The sequence below is a fragment of the Homo sapiens genome, chromosome 3 (genome assembly GCF_000001405.40).
Source record: "Homo sapiens chromosome 3, GRCh38.p14 Primary Assembly".
NCBI classification, from domain to species: domain Eukaryota; kingdom Metazoa; phylum Chordata; class Mammalia; order Primates; family Hominidae; genus Homo; species Homo sapiens.
The window spans coordinates 23,689,033-23,710,302 of record NC_000003.12 but is presented as its reverse complement, the minus strand read 5'-3'; the positions used below and the strand labels follow the sequence as shown (position 1 = coordinate 23,710,302).

Sequence of the window (21,270 nt, the reverse complement as noted above, 5' to 3'; positions counted from 1 at the left end):
CTGGGGAGACAACAGTTAATAAGTACATAAATAAATGCAATAACTTCAAACAGTGATAAGCTCAATGAAGGAAGTAACACTGAGTGAGGTGCTACCGAGCAGCTGGAGGTGGGAGGAGGGGGCAGGGTTTGGTTGATAGCTGGGTAAAGAGGAGGTGACTGAACTGAAGCCTGAGGGGCCCTGGAGGAGCATTGCAGGTTGAAGGAACAGGGACAAACTTGACAAGCTCGAGGTAAAGAAGGAAGGCCAGTCAAGCTGGAGTGCAATGAGAAGAGAGGAGAGGAAGTCAGGGCCTGGGCAGGCCATGTCTTTTAGGTGTGGTAAGGATTTGGGGATCCTGTAACTATTAATCCCGCAAACTCACACATACTGTGGCCCAGTGTTCTCCCAGGGCTTTACATATGCTGACTCTTTTCATCTTCACAATAAAGGCAGGCTGGTATCACTATCCTCGTCTTGTTACAGGTGAAGAAACTGAGGCACAGGAGGAGAACTCTCCCACATCCAAATAGCATCAGTGGCAGAAAGCCAGGCTTCCAGCTCAGGTGGTCTGGCCCCGAGTCTGCCCCCTTAACTGATTCCCCACACAGCCTGGGTTTCAGACAGAAGGGAACCAGGATCTGATTTGTATATGAGCCAGACCCTAGCTGTGTCCTCCCTCTTTGTCTCACCTGCTCCTGACCTATCAGATCCCAGCACCTTGTGGACTGTGTGAAAGTCTCTGATTATCGGTGGGCTATGCCACGTGGATATTTTCTTTTCTTTTCTTTTTATTTTTTAATACGAAGTCTCGCTCTGTCGTCCAGGCTGGAGTGCAGTGATGCAATCTCGGCTCACTGCAACCTCTGCCTCCTGGGATCAAGCAATTCTCTGCCTCAGCCTCCCGAATAGCTGGGATTACAAGCGCCCACCACCACGCCTGGCTAATTTTTGTATTTTTAGTAGAGACGGGGTTTCACCATCTTGGCCAGGCTGGTCTTGAACTCCTGACCTTGTGATCTGCCCGCCTCGGCCTCCCAAAGCACTGGGATTACAGGCGTGAGCCACCGTGCCTGGCCACCACTTGGATATTTTCATGATGGGATTCAAATGGAAGAAATCAGGGAGGTAAAAATATTACGGCATATGGCTTTTTTAACTTCCACTTTGCTTCTTTATAACCACCCTCAATATGTTATTCTTGCGTCTTGTTCAATATAGAAAACAACATAACCATCCAACTGCAAAGGCTGTTTTATCAGCAACCAAATTACTTTATCAGGTATGGTTAACAATGGGTTTTCTTTCCTCTACCATTTCTGATAAAATGTTTGCACAGCATTATGTGAGGAAATATAGAGCTACAGCAATAAAAAATGAACAGGGATAATTTGTGTGTTGGCATTTCCACAAGAGAATGTCAAATATTTCATACCCCGGGGATATTAAGCCTTTCTACCCTTACTGCTACTTTCTTTTAAAAAATGCTTTATGTTCATTTTATTATTAATCTTGAATGGCACATATATATTATATATACTCTTTTTATATGATATGTTTCTCAAACAATATTTTAAAGTCTGTCATAAAAATAAATATGTCTTGAGCATTGAAAATGATACCATGTCAGGTAAACTAACAGGCAGTTGCAACTGAGAGGGAACATTCTTTCTAAAGATTATTCTGCCCTCATTTTAGGTAGTAGCCCATATTTTCCAGAATTCCTTGCAAAGATCTACATAGGGAGTGTGTTGCTTTTTGTAGAACACGGTGATTAATCAATGTAGACCCATTTCTTCTCATTATTCTTACAATTCTTCATACAGAAACTTTCCAGGTGGTAGATATGGATAATCAGATCCCAAATTTAACTAGAAGTTATCACATTTTAAGAGTACTTACAAATCACAAATTGTGAAATGAGTTGAAAAATAATCTATAGGCATCATTTGAATTTTAGGGCTTTTTTATTCTTAAGAAATAACCTTTAAATTAAACCACAATAAATATTGAATTAATTATTAATTAATTTTTAATTTTTTTTTTTGAGATGGAGCCTCACTCTGTCACCCAGGCTGGAGTGCAGTGGCATGATCTCGGCTCACTGGAGCCTCTGCCCCCCAGGTTCGAGTGATTCTCCTGCCTCAGCCTCCTGAGTAGCTGGAATAATAGGCATGCACAACCACTTTCAGCTAATTTTTGTGTTTTTCTTTTTCAGTAGAGACAGGGTTTCACCATGTTGGCCAGGCTGGTCTCGAACTCCTGACATCAAGTGATCTGCCTGCCTCGGCCTCCCAAAGTGCTGGGATTACAGGCGTGAGCCACTGCACTCGGCCCACAATGAATATTTTAGATTAAAAAGTATCAAATGCAAAAAAAAAAAAGGCAGGAGAGACCTGTAGCTAGCTCTGGTTTTACATTTCAACAAACAAACAAACAAACAAACAAAACAACCTTCAAAACATAAGGGTCTAGTCCTCAAGTCTCCCTGTGGTATCCAGGAACCTGGCGAAGACCTTGCTTGCATGGTCTACGCAGACATTTGCTCTCCAGGTTCAAAGCTGGTCTCAAGGAGACAAGATAGAGGTTCACAAAAAGAGAGTTTTACAACCTGAGGTGATATGTCTTTGGGAATTGCGAAGATTGGGTGGTTGCATAATTGCGAGGATTGGGTCGTTGCATAAGACGTCACATTTGGTATCAAATAAATTTTTTATTTCTTTTTTTGGCAATGAGAAAAACACAGCCTCTTCAGCATCCCAGAGTGAGCAACAGGGAAAGATGTCACAAACACTTGCCATCTGACAACTGGATACTGGTATCCAGATTATGAGAGTGGGGAATGGTAGGTATGGTAGGTTAAAAACTGGCCACCAAAAAATATGACCATATGCACATCCCCAGAACCTGTAAATATTACCTTGTATGGCAAACAATATTACATTATACAGCAAAAGACGCAGTTAAGGATCTTGAGAGGAGCTTATCTTGGATAACCAAGATGGGCCCTAATGCAATCATGTGTGTCTTTATAGCAGAGAAGCAGAGGGAGTTTGGGCACAGACCTACACAGAGGAGAAAGTGATGTAAAGACAGAGGCAGAGATTGGAATGATACAGCCTCAAACCAAGAAATGCCTGTCCCCACCAGAAGCTGGAAGAGGCAGGGAACCTCCACAGAGTTGCTGTAGGGAATGTGGCCCTGCCAATACCTTTATTTCAGACTTCAGGCTTCTAGAACTGTGAGAGAATATATTTATGTTGTTTTTTTTTTTTAATTTTTTTGTAGGCGGGAGTGAGGAATCTTGCTTTGTTGCTCAGGCTAGTTTCAAACTCCTGGCCTCAAGAGATCCTCCCTTCTCAGCCTCCTGAGTAGCTGGGACTACAGGTGTGAGCCACCATGCCTGGCTAATTTTTTTTTTTTTTTTTTTGAGACAGTGTTTCACTCTTGTTGCCCAGGCTGGAGTGCAATGGCGCAATCTCAGCTCACTGCAACCTCTGCCTCCTGGGTTCAAGTGATTCTCCTGCCTCATGCTCCCGAGTAGCTGGGATTACAGAAATGCGCCACCATGCCCGGCTAATTTTGTATTTTTAGTGGAAATGGGGTTTCTCCATGCTGGTCAGCCTGGTCTCGAACTCCTGACCTCAGGTAATCTGCCCGCCCCGGCCTCCCAAAGTGTTGGGATTACATGCATGAGCCACCGCGCCTTAGCCACTATTTTTAAGTTTTGTGTAGAGACAGCGTCTAGCTGTGTTGCTCAGGCTGATCTTGAACTCAGAGCCTCCCATCTTGGCCTCCCAAGGTGCTGAGATTACCAAGGTGAGCTTCCATGTCCAGACTTACATTTCTGTGTGTTTTTTTTGTTTGTTTGTTTGTTTTAAGCTACTAAGTCATGGTAATTTGTTATGGCAGCCAAAGGGAATTAATACAATGAGTAATAGGTATGGGGGCGGTAAGGAGGAAAGGAAGTTATTTTTTAGCTGAATGCTTAAAGAGACTAGATCCTTCCATTAAGTCACTGTACAGAGTAGAGACTGTGGGAGTTGGAAAACAGCTGTGACAGTCTGTGGCAGGCAGAATTCTAAGAAAGCTCATGACCTCCACCCCTGAGTGTTACTTCTGTGGTTATGTAACCTTTTTTTTTTTTTTGAGGCAGGGTCTCACTTTGTCATCCAGGCTGGAATGCAACGGCATGATCACAGCTCACTGCAGCCTCAAAGTCCTGGGCTCAAGCAATCCTCCCACCTCCCTCCTGGGTAGCTAGGACTACAGGAGCACACCACCACAGTTGACTAACTTTTTGTTTTTTATAGAGATGAAGTCTTGCTATGTTGCTCAGGCTAGTCTCAAATTCCTGGCCTCAAGCAAACCTTTTGCCTTGTCCTCCCAAAATGTTGGGATTATAGGCATGAGCCACTGCGTCCAGCTGGTTATATTACTTTATATGGGAAAGGGATTTTGGGGATATAATTACAGTTACTAATCAGTCGATTTTAAGATAGGGAGATCATCTGGTGGCCTAATCACATGAGCCCTTTAAATGCAGAGAGTTTACTCCACCTGGTAGCCAAAAGGGGTACAGTGAGACACATTCCAGCTGGCTGGAGAAAAGCAAACATTCATGCTGTGAACTACCAATGAAGAGAGGTGGATGGAAACCTTAGTCCTATAGCCATAAAGAAATGGATTCTGCTAACAACCAGTGAGCTTGAAAGAGGATCATGAGGCTCAGGTGAGAAACATGCCAACCAATACCTGGATTCTAGCCTTGTGATGCCTTCAGCAAGATCCGAGCCACACTGTGCCCAACTCCTAACCCACAGACCTGTAAACTAATAAGTGGATGTTGTTTGAGCTGCTACATGTGTGGTCATTTGCTACACAGCAACAGATAACTAATATACGTCCCCAGGCATTGAACTGACCAGGAGTGGGCAGGGAGGGTGCAGGTAGGAAAGAGTTCTCTCCAGCATCCTGCCTCTACACATTCCCATCTTCCTCCACCACCTACTACACACACCGCTATATGCCCAGGCTGTCGAGAATCTACCAAAGCCCAGGACACATTTTTTTATTATCTGATTTATCCAAGTTAATACTGAAGAAATTAAGTTCTTAGTCTACCAGTGGTTCCTGTAAGCAGGTGCTAAAATCATATGATATGGAAAAATAACTTGGCCAGGCACAGTGGTTCACACCTGTAATCCCAGCACTTTGGGAGGCCAAGGCAAGAGGATCACTTGAGCCCAGGCAACAGCCACTGGGCAACAGCCTGTAGAGATGTAGACCTCACCTCTATAAAAAATAAATTAGCCGGGTGTGGTATCACGTGCCTGTTGGTCCCAGCTACTTGGGAGGCTAAGGTGGGAGGATCACTTGAGCCCAGGAGTTCAAGGCTGCAGTGAGCTGTGATCATGCCACTGCACTCCATCCTGGGCAGCGGAGCAAGACCCTATCTTAAAAAAAAAAAGAAAAGAAAAAAGAAGGCTGGGTGTGGTGGCTCATGCCTGTAATCCCAGCACTTTAGGAGGCCGAGGTGGGTGGATCACCTGAGGTCGGGAGTTCAAGACCAATCTGACCAACATGGAGAAACCCCATCTCTACTAAAAATACAAAATTAGCCAGGTGTGGTGGCATGTGCCTGTAATACCAGCTACTCGGGAGGCTGAGGCAGGAGACTCTCTTGAACCTGGGAGGTGGAGGTTGTGTGAGCTGAGAGGGCACCATTGCACTCCAGCCCGGGTAACAATTGCGAAACTCCGTCTCAAAAAAAAAAAGAAAAGAAAAGAAACTTGCCTGTTCCCAATTGAGATTCCATGTTATTGTGCAACACACACACACAATGGTACAGCTAAATGCTAAGATGCATTTTGCCCACTTTTGAGGAAAAAAACTGTAGACATCCACCACTTCAACCAAGAGGAGGAAAACTGCACTGGATCCTCTCAGAAATGAACTTTCTCTCCACAGGCTCCAGCCCCACTCATTTCCTTTGTCTCTGGAATGAGCCAGCTCTTCCCGGCTCCAGGATATTTTTCCATGCTTTCTGTTTGCCTCAATAGTCTTTCCTCCACTCTTTTCAATGACTGACTCCCTATATTTAAGGTTCCAATTTAAATATAATCCCCCTAAACTCTTTTCCCTGATCACCCAGTCTAAAACTGGCCTCCCTTGTTAGTCTTTCCAAGCTCCTTGTTCTTTTTTTGTCCTGGTACTTTATCACATTTTGTGATTATGTATTGGTTTTTTTTTTGTCTGCTAGACTGACCACTACACTATAGCTTTATGTATTATTTGGTACTCTCTTGGTTGCAAGCAACAGAAACTGCCTTTGGCTTGCTTAAACTATATGACAGGTAGCTTTTGTAATTTAAAGAAAATTCCTGTCTTAGCAAGGACAGGAATGATAAATATTGTAGGACATTTCAGACCTTCATTCACAATTCCAGGCACTTGGGAAATCTGGGAGACCCCCACTCATGTTTCAGATTCCTGGGAGAGAGAATCGATGGGTTGGGTTGGGTTGAATTTCTGCCTTTGGACATCACTGTGCTTCCTATGATGGGCCACTCTGAGGTTAAGAAAGCACGATCTGTTATTTTGTTATGAGAAGGGAGGAAGGGGTGGAAGTAGATGGCTCTGAGCAGGGAACATAGGAGCATCACCAACTTTTATTGAACATGGATTGTGCTTAAGGCCCTAGCTAAGCATCCCTACCTTATCTATAGGTCTCTGATTTATTCAGTCTCCCTGGAGGCCTTTCGGTTTTCAGATGACACAAATCCTCAGCAGCTGTTGTCACCATCAAGAGGCTCTATGCCACTGTGCCTAGGTGAGCGGGATGCCATAGGCTAATCCAGCCTGTTGCATTTCACAGAGCTGGAGGGGTCCAAGCATACCCTTAACAAGACAATCTGGGCACCAGGATACAGTGAGAAAACCTGTGGCTCTATAGAGAAACTTGAGGGAACTTTGCCACTGTGATTTTAACCAAGTCACTTAGCCTGTCTGAGCCTCAATTTCCCATCTATAAAATAGATATAATTACATATATATGCATGCATGTATACATACACATGCATGCGTATATATGTATACATGTACAGTTGACCCTTGAACAACATGCCTTTCAACTGCATGGGCCCACTTATATATGGATTTGTCTCAACTAAACATAGACCAAAAATACAGTATTTGAGGGATGTGAAACCTGCTTATATGGAGGGCTCACTGATTTTGGTGTATGTGGGGGCCCTGGCGCTGATTTCCTGAGTATACTGAGGGATGACTATATGTGTGTATGTGCACATATATACATATGTGTGTGTGTACATGTGCACATATATACATGTGTGTGTATAATAATTGTGAGAACATTGCTTTTAAATGGCTGGCTAGTAAAGACTTTCAAAGATTCCTTTCTACCACATCACCTTACTTTATTTTCCCAATACTACCTGTCCCCATCAGAGATTATTTTATGTATGTATTTATACATCTGTTTATCTGTCTCCCCAGCTGAATGAAAGTTCTAGGAGGGCAGGGACTTATCTGTCTGGTTCAAAGCTATATTTTCAGTATCTGGCACATAGTAGCTCCTTAATAAATATTGTTTGAGCAAGTGAGTGCATGAATGAATGAACAAATGGGGACCCAAGAGGGAACAGAAGGGAAAACAGTAGGTGCCATCTTTTTCTATAGAAGTGACTATGAGTTCCATCAAATAGGTTGCATCCTGTAAGCCACAGTTTCTAGGTTCCTGTAATTCTATTTTCCTTTTGCATTTCTTGACTGAGTCCCTCTTATTTGAACATTCTAGGCTTGTCTCAGCTACACAGGAGTAACAGGAAGGCTGAGGATCAGAGGAGCCCCACTTCTAAAGATGCTAGGATGCCAGTGACAACAGTGAGTCAGGAGTAAGGAATTTTGATGGAGGTGCCCCTCTCCGTCTGGAATCAACCTGGGAGCTTCTGGGTGATCTGCTTGCTGAAAGCAGCAATTTCCTTAACACTTCCTTACAGGGCTGAGGACTCAATGACATCACGTGTAAAGTACCTGGCACATAGTAGGTCCTCCAGGAATGTCAGTTCTAGAAATTAGGCTAGGACTCCATGATCCCAGCCCAGTACATGTTTCTCCTTCAGAACTGGCTAAACATTGCTGCTGAGTGATAAACTATACTTTCTCAGAATCACTGCCAGCTATCCCCCTTGACATTTTCTCTTTTTCAAGAAAAAAGTTTCCTTCTCAACAGTGTAGCAACTCAGCTCAAGCAGAGAAACACAAATTGCCAGGTGCACGGCCAATCTTCGGTGCAATCTAGTGGCTCTCTGGTAACGAAGTTCCACAAACAATGGAATGGCTGACCCCTGGTTCTGAAGTCTCCCACCTGCCTTGTAATTAAACACCTGTTTATGGCCCCGGGGGAGGACGGGTGAATGGCATGATGCTACCGTACGTTTTCAAGCAAACCTTCTTTGTGGTCCTGGCAAGAAGATTCCTCTCAACAGTCTGGGCACCCCCCACCCATTGTTCACAGGGGGCTCAGGGGAGGCCCAGATGGATTCATGGCTGTGAGGAAGCTGCCCAGACAGCCTGCCAGGGTCCAGGAGTGTGGCTTCCTAAGCAAACTTGGCAGATATAGCAGGTCACATTTCAGCGGGGGTTTTAGAATTACTTGTGATTGGATTGTTTGCAATTCAATGGATAAATGCTTGAGGGGATGGATACCCATTCTTCATGGTGTGTATATTTCATATTGCATGCCTGTATCAAAACATCTCATGTACCCCATAAATATATACACCTACTATGTACCCACAAAAATTAAAAATTAACAAATTAAGGCCGGGTGCAGTGGCTCACACCTATAATTCCAGCACTTCGGGAGCCCAAGGTGGGTGGATCGCTTGAGGTCAGGGGTTCAAGACCAGCCTGACCAACATGGTGAAATCCTGTCTCTACTAAAAATACAAAAAAATTAGCCGGGCGTGGTGGTGCATGCCTGTAATTCCAGCTACTCAGGAGGCTGAGGCAGGAGAATCACTTGAATCCAGAAGGCCGAGGTTGCAGTGAGCTGAAATCACACCACTGCACTCCAGTATGGGTGACAGAGTAAGACTCTGTCTCCAAAATAAATAAATACAAAAAAGGTAATTACTTGTGAGATGTTTTTACCTTTTGAACACTTTAGCCTGCTTTATCTTGAGGACCATTCTTTGGCGAGTCTCAAATTCTAAGATTCCAGAAATCGAAAGAAGCTGGAGAAGCAGCTGGTGAATTTCAGCAGATTTCAGTGGCTGAACCTCCCACTTGTGAGACCCGGTGCAGGGAAGCTACTTTGCCCCTCTGTAAAATGGGAATAATAATAACCAATAATACGTATCTTGTGGGCGTACATGATTGCATGATTTAGAACAGTGACCAGCACTCTGTATCATTCAATACATATTTATTCCTCCTTTCCTTTTCTCTGTGTTGCAGAATGACTATCTTGATTGAGTGGGAACTACTTTAACATGATTTCACAAAAAATCATAATTGCACACGGATTACAGCAAAAATAAACTCCCCCTCCTACTCTTAACTGTCATTCCCCTCTCAGAGGTTTCAGTTTCTTGCTTATCCACCAAGATAGTTAATACAGACATTGGTACTTACATACAGGCACTTTTAAAATGACAAATGGTAGCACACAACATACTTCTGTGACTTTCTTTAAAAACAAAATAACAGCTTTATTGAGATATAATTCACATACTGTACAATTCACCCATTTAAAGTGTTTTGTCTTTTTATGTATCACTTATCTCAGAGAGTTCTGTATCAGTATGACTACATACATCTCATTCTTTTCTATAACTGCATCTCATTCCACCATACGGTTGTCCCATAATTTTATTCACTCAGTCTTTTTTTGATGGACATTGAGGTTACTGCCAGTGCTGCAATGAATAATGAGTATCGTTGGATGTGGGCCTTTGTGCATGTCTAAATGTTTCTCTGCCCTTATCTCTTCACTGAGAGTACGGACCTGCTCTTCCGTTACGGTCAATAACAACATCACTAACAAACATGATGCCTGCAAAATAAACCTTCAAATTGTTCTGTTGTTACTGTTGGCTTATGATTTTAACATATACTGGGCAACTCATGTTATTATCATTATCATTATTGTTATTAATGAGACTGAGCATTTTGACAGGGGCTTGGCAGAAAAGTGACAGGGAAAATTGGGGGATATTTGTGGTTTAATAGACAGAATACTATTTACTATTAATCATTGTCAAGGCTGGGTTTGGCAAGCAATAATTATGGACACATCATGCACATTGTAAAACCATCTTCTCCCCATTGCTCTTCCCCATTGCACTCAGAAATGAACTTACACGGACTTGCATAGAGCTCATCCTTAGTTGTTGGAACAGTTCTCGACAACCTGAGGCTGAAATGAAGATCCCTGAACATTTTTTTGACAAGCAATCAGAGGCATGTGCATGTTTCAGTCCATCTTATAATAATAGCAGGAGATACTCACAAAAGCTTTTGCCACTGGCCCGGTGCAATTCTCAGCCCCTTGCCTGTGTTAACCCAGTTACTCTTCACAAGCCTACGAGGCAGAAGCTGTTATTATCACAATCACCCCCATTTTACAGATGAGGAAACTGAGGCATGTGGAGGTTCCGTAAATTGTCCAAGGTCTTCCAGCTTGTGAGTTGGGGAGTCAGGATTTATCTGGCAACCTGACTCCTTTATTTGGCTAACTGCCCCTTTCTATGGCTGCAGAGACTGTAGATGCCATGGCATTTTGTGTCTAACTAAGACACAAAATGTGTGAGAGAATCCAGTCCCTAGCACAATGCTGGGCTCACAGAAGACGTGTGATATATTACACTAATAATTATTATATTATTAATGACACTCTCCTCCTTCTTGTTAAATTCTTCCCTCAAAGATGTACTCTCCTGAAGGCTTTCAGGAATGTCCTGTGAAAACACAAATGTACCTGGGAGCAAATAAGACTCCCTGGTAGAAGTCTGTTCAGTGAAAGGAAAGGGCCCTGGCTTAATTCTCTGCTCTGTAACTTGCAAGCTGAGTGCATTCCCTTCATTTTTACTAAGCCTCAGTTTTCTTATCTGTAAAAGTGGGATAAGAATGACACTGATGCCCATGAATTGCTACAGAATACTGCACAATGAACTTGAAGTATTCACACAGGTGTGCCAGCAGGGGAGGCAGTGGAGAATCGTGGTTCATACACAAACCTTGGGCTCTAGCTGCTTGGTTTCAAAACCCTCCTCTACCATTTGCCAGCTGGGCCGAACTGGGCAAATGATTTCTCCTCTCTCTAAGACTCAGTGCCTCATCTGTCAAATGAGGCTTTTAATGGGACCTATATGGTGGCAATTAAATGACATGCACTTGCAAAGTACCTAACAGTGAGTATTGGGTAAGAGTTAGGTATAGCTATCTTGATTGTCTGGATTGTAAAAAATGGTTGGATCAGGGTTCTCCAGAGAAACAGTTTATTGCCCATTATATTAGCTTGCTGAGGCTGTCATAACAAAATTCCAGACTAGGTGGCTTAGACAACAGAAATTTATTTACATTTATTTATTTATTTATTTATTTTTTGAGATGGAGTTTTACTGTTGTTGCCCAGACTGGAGTACAATGGCATGATCTCGGCTCACTGCAACCTCTCCTCCCGGGTTCAAGTGATTCTCTTGCCTCAGCTTCCCGAGTAGCTGGGATTGCAGGCATGCGCCACCACGCCTGGCTAATTTTGTATTTTTAGTAGAGACAGGGTTTCTCCAGTTGGTCAGGCTGGTCTCGAACTCCCAACCTTAGGTGATGCGCCCGCCTCGGCCTCCCAAAGTGCTGGGATTATAGGTGTGAGCCACCGCACCTGGCCCAGAAATTTGTATCTCACAGTCTGGAGGCTGGAATTCCAGGATCGAGGGGCTGGTTTCTTCTGAGGTCTCTTTCCTTGCCTTGCAGATGGTCACCTTCCCTCTGTGTCCTCATATGGCCTTTTCTCTGTGAACACACATCCCTGGAGTTTCTCTGTGTGTCCAAATTTCCTCTTCTTATAAGGACACCAGTCAGATTGGATTAGGTCCCACCCTAATGGCCTCATTTTAAATTAATCACCCTTTTAAAGACCTCAGCTCTGAATACAGTTACAGTCTAAGGTTCTGGGGGTTAGAGTTTCAACTTATGGGGGTGGGGCACAGTTCAGTCCCTAAGGATGGCCTAATATCTATTTGAAAGGGTTATTTTGATAATTAAAGAAACAAGGCATGTGACAGATATATGATGGCTTCTGTCCGTAGCATCCACTCAATTAAAAAACACTAGCAAGTTTCTAGGTTATGGTGATGCTGCTGGTCCAGGGACCACAGTTTGAGAACCACTAGCCTAGTTATTCCTTGTGCATCTGAAGCTAAGAATTAATAACACGGTGGGGAGTGTGCCAGGAAATAATGGTTTACACAGGTGTGCTGGACTGCGTTTCTGGGTGTCCATCGGGATGACCCCAAGTTAGCTTCTGCCCTATTTTTCCTCCAAGGATAGGAACTGGAAAAATTTTCCAAGCAATTTGCAAGGCGTGAATCCCGCTCAGCTCCATACCCCTCCTTTGCTACCTTCCTCTCCTCCTTCCACCTGGTGCCTGCTGGCTAAAGCCCTGTTAATCAGCCGGCCCGACTCCCCAGGCTGTTAGAGCCCTTGACGAGAGAGGGATTCACAGCAAGAAGCTGGCTCTTCAGAATGCAATGGCTCCTACAGGAGGGAACAGAACCGGAGCCTCTAGAAATGTCAGCTTTTCCCGCAGAGTCAACTGAATGATGGGAAAAGGGAAGGGTTTTCTCCTTCTCATTTAAGTAGTTTTTATGTGTCTAAAGATGTTTTATAGAAACAGAAATTGTACCTGATAAAGTGCCAACATTAATCCATTTGATGTGTTTAAAGGAGGTATTTTCACAGCAACATATCTTATTAATGTAATGCTGATGGATAAGAAATGGCAGAGGATGATTTCAAAAGATTTTTTTTTTAACACAATGAGAAAAAAGAGAGTGACTTTCCATTTTATTTTTTCCTGTGAGTAAATGTATCTTTAATCCTAACAGAATGTGCTGAAATAGAGTTTTGGCAAAAATCCAAAGGGAGTTTTCAGAGTGGGGCAATTTCTTTTTACATCTGCTTTATTGGCTCAGCCATTAGACAAGCAATTCAGTTCAATAAACATTTATTTCCTACTGTGTGTCAGGCACTATACTCCAGTCCAAGGAGCTCAGAGGTGAGCTGGAAATGCAACAGATGACGATGCAGTGTGACAGCTGGGCAACTCCCACCTTCCACTCTCTCAATCTATGAACTCTTTTATTATTTCCGAGCACCCAGTATGTCCTGCATGGTGCTCTATGATAAGAAATCACACCATCTACTCCACTTATGCTAGAATTTCAGAAATTCTGCATTTTTAAATTTATGTTGGCCAGGCGCGGTGGCTCATGCCTGTAATCCCAGCACTTTGGGAGGCCAAGGCGGGAGGATCACCTAAGATCAGAAGTTCGAGACCAGCCTGACCATCATGGTGAAACCCTGTCTCTACTAAAAATACAAAATTAGCTGGGTGTGGTGGTGGGCGCCTGTAATCCCAGCTACTCGGGAGGCTGAGGCAGGAGAATCGCTTGAATCCGGGAAGTGAAGGTTGCAGTGAGACAAGATCACGCCACTGCACTCCAGCCTGGGCAACAAGAGCAAAACTCCATCTCAAAAAAAAAAAAAAAAAAAAAAAAAAAAAAAGTAATGTCTATCCCTAGTAAGTCCCTAAACATCTTCATGAAAGGAAGCATAGCATTAATTATATTAATATTTTCAAAGGTGTTTTATATGCATATTTGAGGTCTCTGGTTTAGAATACATGGAATACACTGTGATTCTTTTTTGTTTTCTTTTTTTGATTTTTGAGAAGAGTCTCACTCTGGAACCCAGGCTGGAGGGCAGTGGAGTGATCATGGCTCATTGCATCTTTGAATTTCTGGGCTCAAGTGATTCTCCCACCTCAGCCTCCGGAGTAGCTGGGTCCACAGGTGCACGCCACCTTGCTCAGCTAATTTTTGTATTTGTGGTAGAGACAGGTCTCATTTTGTTGCCCAGGCTGGTCTCGAACTCCTGGGCTCAAGGGATCCTCCCAACTTGGCCCAAAGTGCTGGGATTATAGGTGTGAGCTACCGCACCCTGCCTTTCTTCTTCTTCTTCTTCTTCTTCTTTTTTTTTTTTTTTTTCCAGAGATGGAGTCTTGCTCTGTCACCCAGGTTGGAGTGCAGTGGTGCAATCTCAGCTCATCTCACTGCAACCTCTGCCTCCCAGGTTCAAGTTATCCTTCTGCATCAGCCTCCCAAGTAGCTGGGATTACAAGCGTGTGCCACCATGCCCAGATAATTTTTGTATTTTTAGTAGAGATGAGGTTTCACCATGTTGGCCAGTCTGGTCTTGAACTCCTGACCACAAGTGATCTGCTGGCCTCGGCCTCCCAAAGTGCTGAGATTACAGGCATGAGCCACTGCACCTGGCCTACCTCGATTCATTTTATGGGAAAGTAACTAGTTGTTTATTACTAAGGACAGTTAAAACATCATAATTATCAAATGATTGGCTTTTGTTCTGTATTAGAGGGGATTCAACGTCACTCTCATTCACTTGCATTACAACAGGCTCTCTAGGAACAGCCCACACACCCAGTGTGTTAGTGAGAGTGGCGAGAATGCCCCTCTCATCCATCATGGGTAGCTTTGGCAGAAAACCAGACCAAGGGCGGCTGACCTAGGCAGGACAGGGTATGTTCCAGGCTGGGATTTTCAAAGCTGGACATGTGGGTATGTACAAAACAAGGCTAAGGCTCTAATTTAATCAAATTATACCAAGAAACATTGAAAAGAAGCCAGCACTATGGAGAGAGAAGGGGTGGAATGTACAAAGAGAGAGAAAAGGGAGAATGGAGAGGAGGAGAGAAGAGAGAAAGGTCACAATGGAAATAACATTAACTTCATCTTCCTTTGGGATCCAACTCCAAGCTGGCAGAGAAGCAGCCTTCTAGAGACATAGCCCCCAAAGATCAGGGGTCAATAATCTTAAGGGTGTGCACATTTTTATTTCCCGAGTCATTATTTTGAATTAGGTTATTTTGAATTAGGACTGGGGTCTTTCATTTTATGTATGTATGTATACAGAGACAGGGTCTCACTCCGTCACCCAGGCTGGAGGGCAGTGGTGTGATCATGGCTCACTGTAAACTTGAACTCCTGGGCTCAAGTAATCCTCTTCAGCCTCTCAAGTGGCTAGGATTACAGGTGCGCATCACTGTGCCCGGCTAATTTTTAAATTTTTTGTAGAGATGAAGTCTCACTAAGCTGCCCAGGCTGGTCTTGAACTCCTGGCCTCAAGTGATCTTCCCACCTCAGCTTCCCAGAGTACTGAGATTGTAGGCATGAGCCACCGTGGCTGGCCGACTGGGGTTTTCTGAGAGTTATCAGACAGAGAGGATGTGTTCGTCAAGGAATTTTGTTGAATCATCTTTTCATTTTCAAGTGACCCTGCAAGAACCTGGAGCCTAGGCCAGAGCACTGTCACCTATAGGATGCTTTGCAAAGAAGAAATTGTCATCCTGAAGGTCCAGAATGAAATGACCCAATAAAGCACAGAAGCAGGATGTCTGCCGGGAAGGCATCTCATTCCCCTTTTTCTTCTCTTTATCTTCCTTTTGTAATTTTCCCTCTTCTCCATTTAAGCTCCCAGCTTACTTCCTCCCTCCCTGCCTTCCTTCCCAAGCATTGTGTGAGTACAGGGCTAGGCACTGTGGACACAGAGGGGCAGGTTAGTAGGCTCCTGGGCCTGCCATCTGAGGATGTTCTCCTCATCTCACTACTGGGTTTGGGGGATGAGGATCAAGGAAGCTCCTCGGTAAGGCCAGTTTTGCCGAGTCTTGCAGGAGGAGTTGGCCTCAGAAGCAGAGGCAGGAGCAGGAGCAAAGGCCAGGGGAGCAGGGCAGGTTCTGGAACTGCTTAGGACCTAGTGACTAGAATGTGGCTGGTAAAGGTAACAGGTGGCTAAAGGTGGTAAAGGTAACAGATGGCTGCAGAAGGGGAGAGATGGGCTGGAGTGCCCTAAAGAAAGCAATGGGGGCTGGGCGTAATGGCTCACGCCTGTAATCCCAGCACTTTGGGAGGCTGAGGCAGGCAGATCACTTGAGGTCAGGAGTTTGAGACCAGCCTGGCCAACACGGTGAAAATACAAAATTAAAATACATTAAAAATACAAAAATTTGCTGGGCATGGTGGTGCACACCTGTAATCCCAGCTATCTGAGAGGATGAGACAGAAGAATCCCTTGAATCTGGGAGGAGGAAGTTGTAATAAGCCAAGATTGTGCCACTGCACTCCAGCGTGGGTGACAGAGTGAGACTCCGTCTCAAAAATAAAAAATAAAATAAAAAAAGCAATGGGAACTACTGGAGGGTTTAAGCAAGGGTGTAATTTGATTTTACATTTTAGAAAGAGCCTTCTGGCTACATTTTGGAGATTGGATGAGAGAGACTAGGGAAGCCAGGTAGGAGCATTTTGTGATTTGTTAGAAATGTGATTAATGTGCTACCCTTCTTGGGAATGTTAACATTCTGTTTTTTTTTTTGTTTTGTTTTGTTTTTGAGACGGAGTCTCGCTCTGTCGCCCAGGCTGGAGTGCAGTGGCGCTGTCTCGGCTCACTGCGAGCTCCGCCTCCCGGGTTCACGCCATTCTCCTGCCTCAGCCTCCCGAGTAGCTGGGACTACAGGCGCCCGCCACCGCGCCCGGCTAATTTTTTTGTATTTTTAGTAGAGACGGGGTTTCACCGTGTTAGCCAGGATGGTCTCGATCTCCTGACCTCGTGATTCGCCCGCCTCGGCCTCCCAAGGGAATGTTACATTCTTAACAGGCCCCCAAGGACAGAGTGATGCTTAACACACAGAGATGAATTGCTCATGGTGGAATTCTCTGCACCTGGAGAAAGACGTCAGGGGACATGGCAGCCTACCTTGCTGCTGTTAAACCACACTAAAGACAGCTGCATATGTGGGGAAGAGCATCAGGGAGGAAAGGGGGTGGGAGAAGATGCAGTTTGGGAGTGGAGGCTGGGTGTGGGGGTGGCAGGGGCTAGACTTAGGGAAGCAGTGATGGGAGACCTCAGTAGGCAGGCAGAGCAGCAGTTCATGGCCTTGGCTGCATGCTGGAATTACCTGAGGGCCTCCTGATGCTGAGGCTTCAACCCAGACCAATGGAATACAGACTTCTAGGACTGCACTTCAGACATCAGCATTTCTCAAGCTTCCACGCTGATTCCAGTGTGCAGCCAAGATTGCAAACCACTGCCCTAAAACGATGATCCTCAAAATGTGGTCCGCAGACCCGTGGCTCCGGCATCAATAGGGTACTTGTTAGAGGTGTAGATTCTAGACACCAGCCCAGACCTGCCGAGTCATTCTGATTCTACATTTTACTGAGATCTTTGGTGATGCTATCACATTGAATGCACATTGGAATCATTTGGGGAGCATTTTTTTAAAATCTTTTCTATTTTTATTGTTTTTTTTTTCACAGGACAAAGACATTTGAGGGAGCTTTTAAGTTATTTAAATTTTTTTAAGTTTTTTTTTCATAAGACAAAAAGACATTTGCGGAAACTTTTTCTCTTTTTTTTAATGAAAATCTCGGTGCCTGGGTCCCACCTCCAGAAATTCTGATATTATGGATTTGGGGTGTGGTCTGGGCAACAGTATTTCTCAGATCTCCACAAGTGCAGTCAGGGTGGAGAAGGGCCCAGAAATTCTATCAGTGTTTTCCATGGTCCTGCAGCCTCAAAATAGAGAGGAGAGGAAGGCTTAGGACTTCACAAACCTGGAATCTTTTAGCTAAATAGTAAGTTTAGAAAAGTTATTGAGAGTTTTAAATACATGAATGGAACCTGTGTCCTCTGCAGCACATCATTCCTGGTATTGAAGTTCCTGAGGAGGCAAAGCAGCCAGAACATTTATGCTGAAATGTATTCCACTACCTGTTTACCATGTGTAATCCCATCTCTTAGCCTTGTGTGCCTAAGTGTGTGCATTTGTACAATGGGCACAGCAATGCCCAGTTGAAAGGATCAATAAAGGAAGCTGTTGCCTGGGCTCAGTGGCTCATACCTGCAGTCTCACCTATTTGGGAGACTGAGGTGGGAGGACTGCTTGAGCCCAGAAGTTCGAACCTGCAATGAGCTATGATTTGCCACTGCCCTCCAGCCTGGGTGACAGAGCCAGACCCAGTTTCTAAAAGAAAAAAATAAATAAAAAAGGAAGCTGTGGTGCAGGCAGGCAGCCGCTAAAACGGCCCCAGGCATCTTGCTCCTGGTGTTCATATCCTTGTATAATTTCTTACCTTTATGTGTAGGCTGGACGTGGTGACATGGCTTCTAACAAATAGAACATGGCCAAAGTGATGGATGTCACTTCTGAGATTAGGTTGTTAAAAGACTGCAGCTTCTCTCTCTCTCTCTCTCTCTCTCTCTCTAGTGGGAAAAGCAAGCCTCCATGTTGTGAGTAGTCATATGGAGAGGCCCACGTGTCAAGGAACTGATGTCTGCAGCCAACAGCAAGGTCCTGACTCATGTGAGTGAGCTTGGAAGCAGATCCTCCCTGGGTTAAACACTGAGGATGAATGCAGCCTGCGAGAGACCCTGAGTCCTTTATGATCTAACCTCAAGAGCCACACAGCCATATTCTATTTCCTGGAGCAGTTATAAGACACACAGTTTCAAGAGGAGGGTGTAATAGTCCGTTCTCACGCTGCTATAAAGAATTACCTGAGACTGGGTAATTTACAAAGAAAAGAGGTTTAACTGACTCATAGTTCCACAGGCTCTATGGGAAGCATGGCTGGGGAGGCCTCAGGAAACTTACAATCATGGCAGAAGGCAAAGGGGAAGCAGGAACGTCTTACCGTGGTGGAGCAGGAGAGAAGGAGAAGAGAGAAGTGCTACACACTTTTAAACAACCAGATCTCGTGAGAACTCACATACTATCACTAGAACAGCAAGGAGGAAATCCACCCCCATGATCCAATCATCTTGCATCAGGCCCTTCCCCCAACACTGGAGATTACAATTCAACATGAGATTTGGGTGGGGACACAGAGCCACACCATATCAGAGGGGAGATAGGCTCTACCTTTCAGGGGACGGGTGTTAGTCACATTGTCACAGTATAGGAGGATAGGAGATAGATCTATAACCCTTTACATGAGAGATTGGTGATTATATACAGACACACTTTGTTTTATTGTGCTTCTTAGATTTTGCATTGTGCTTTGCAGATATTGTGGTTTGTTTTGTTTTTTAAAAATTGAAGGTCTGTGGCAACCCTACATTGAACAAGACTATAGGCACCATTTTTCCAACAGCATGTGCTCACTTCATGTCTTCATGTCACATTTTGGTAATTCTCACAATATTTCAAACTTTGTCATTATTACTATATCTGTTTTGGTGATCTGTGATCAGTGATCTTCGATATTACTATTGTAACTGTTTTGGGGCACCATTTACTGCACTCATATAAGACAGTGAAATTAATTGATAAGTGTTGTGTGTGTTCTGATTGCTCTACCAACTGGCCATTCCCCCATCTCTCTCCCTCTCAGGCCTCTCTACTCCTGGAGATACAACAATATAAAAATTAGGCCAATTAATAACCCACAATGGCCTCTAAGTATTTAAATGAAAGGAAAAGTCTCACATCTTTCAATTTAAATCAAAAGCTAATTGCATGAAGGAAAAGGATTTATTATTAATAATAATATAACATAATATAATACTATGTAATAATAATATAGTAATAATAAATCAAAAGCTAGAAATGATGAAGCTTAGTGAGGAAGGCATGTTGAAAGCTGAGACAGGCCAAAAGCCAGGCCTCTTGTATCAAACAGTTAAAAAGTGTGAATGCAAAGGAAAAGTTCTTGAAGGAAATTAAAAGTGCTGCTTGAGTGAACATATAAATGTTAAGAAAGCGAAATAGCTTTTCTGCTAATATGGAGAATGTTTGAGTGGTCTGGATAGAAGATCAAACCAGCCACAACATTCGTTTAAACCAAAGCCTAATCCAGAGCAAGGCCCTAACTTGTTTCAATTCTGTGAAGGCTGAAGAGAGGAAAAGGCTGAAGAGAGGTGAGGAAGCTGCAGCAAAGTTGGAAGCCAGCAGAAGTTGGTTCATGAGGTTTAAGGAAAGAAGGCATCTCTGTAACATAAAGGTGAAGCAGCAAGTGCTGATGTAGAAGCTGCAGCAAGTTACTGAGAAGATCCAGCCAAGAGAACTGATGAAGGTGGCTACACTAAACAATAGATTTTCAATGTAGATGAAACAGCCTTCTCTTGGAAGAAGATGCCATCTAGGACTTTTCTAATTAGAGAGGAAAAGTAGATATCTGGTTTCAAAGCTTCAAAAGAATGGCTGACTCTCTTAGACGCTAATGCAACTGATGACTTTAAGTTGAAGCCAATGCCCATTTGCCATTCTGAAAATCCTAGGGCCCTTTAGAATTATGCTAAATCTACTCTGCCAGTGCTCTGTAAATGGAACAACAAAGCCTGGATGGCACATCTATTTACAGCATGGTTTACTGAATATTTTAAGCCCACTGTTGAGACCTACTGCTCAGAAAAAAAGATTCCTTTCAAAATATTACTGCTCATTGACAATGCATCTGGTCACCCAAGAGCTCTGATGGAGATGTATAAGGAGATGAATGTTTTCGTGCCTGCTAATACAATATATGTTCTGCAGTCCATGGATCAAGGAGCGATTTTGACTTTCGAGTCTTATTATTTAGGAAATACATTTTGTAAGGCTGTAGATGCCATAAACAGTGATTCCTTTGAAGGATCTGGGCAAAATAAATTGAAAACATTCTGGAAATGATTCACTATTCTAGATGCCATTAAGAATACTCATGATTCCTGGGAGAATGTCAAAATATCAATATTAACTGGGGTTTGGAAGAAGTTGATTCCAACCTTCATGGATGTCTTGAAGGGGTTCAAAACATCAGTGGAAGAAGTAACTGCAGATGGGGTGGAAACAGCAAGAGAACTGGAATTAGAAGTGGAGCCTGAAGATGTGCCTGAATTGCTGCAATCTCATGATCAAACTTGAACAGATAAGGAGTTGCTTCTTATGAATGAGCAAAGGAAGTAGTTTCTTGAGATGGAACACACTCC

At 43.7% G+C, this 21,270-nt stretch overlaps 1 annotated feature.

Moving 5' to 3' along the window:
- Positions 7,679 to 8,291: an enhancer, noted in NCBI's record as "OCT4-NANOG-H3K27ac hESC enhancer chr3:23743503-23744115 (GRCh37/hg19 assembly coordinates)". NCBI's record gives its function as "activates a minimal SCP1, AML or CMV promoter by ChIP-STARR-seq in primed H9 embryonic stem cells {active_cell/tissue: H9 hESC(primed)}" and the evidence as "EXISTENCE:reporter gene assay evidence [ECO:0000049][PMID:30033119]".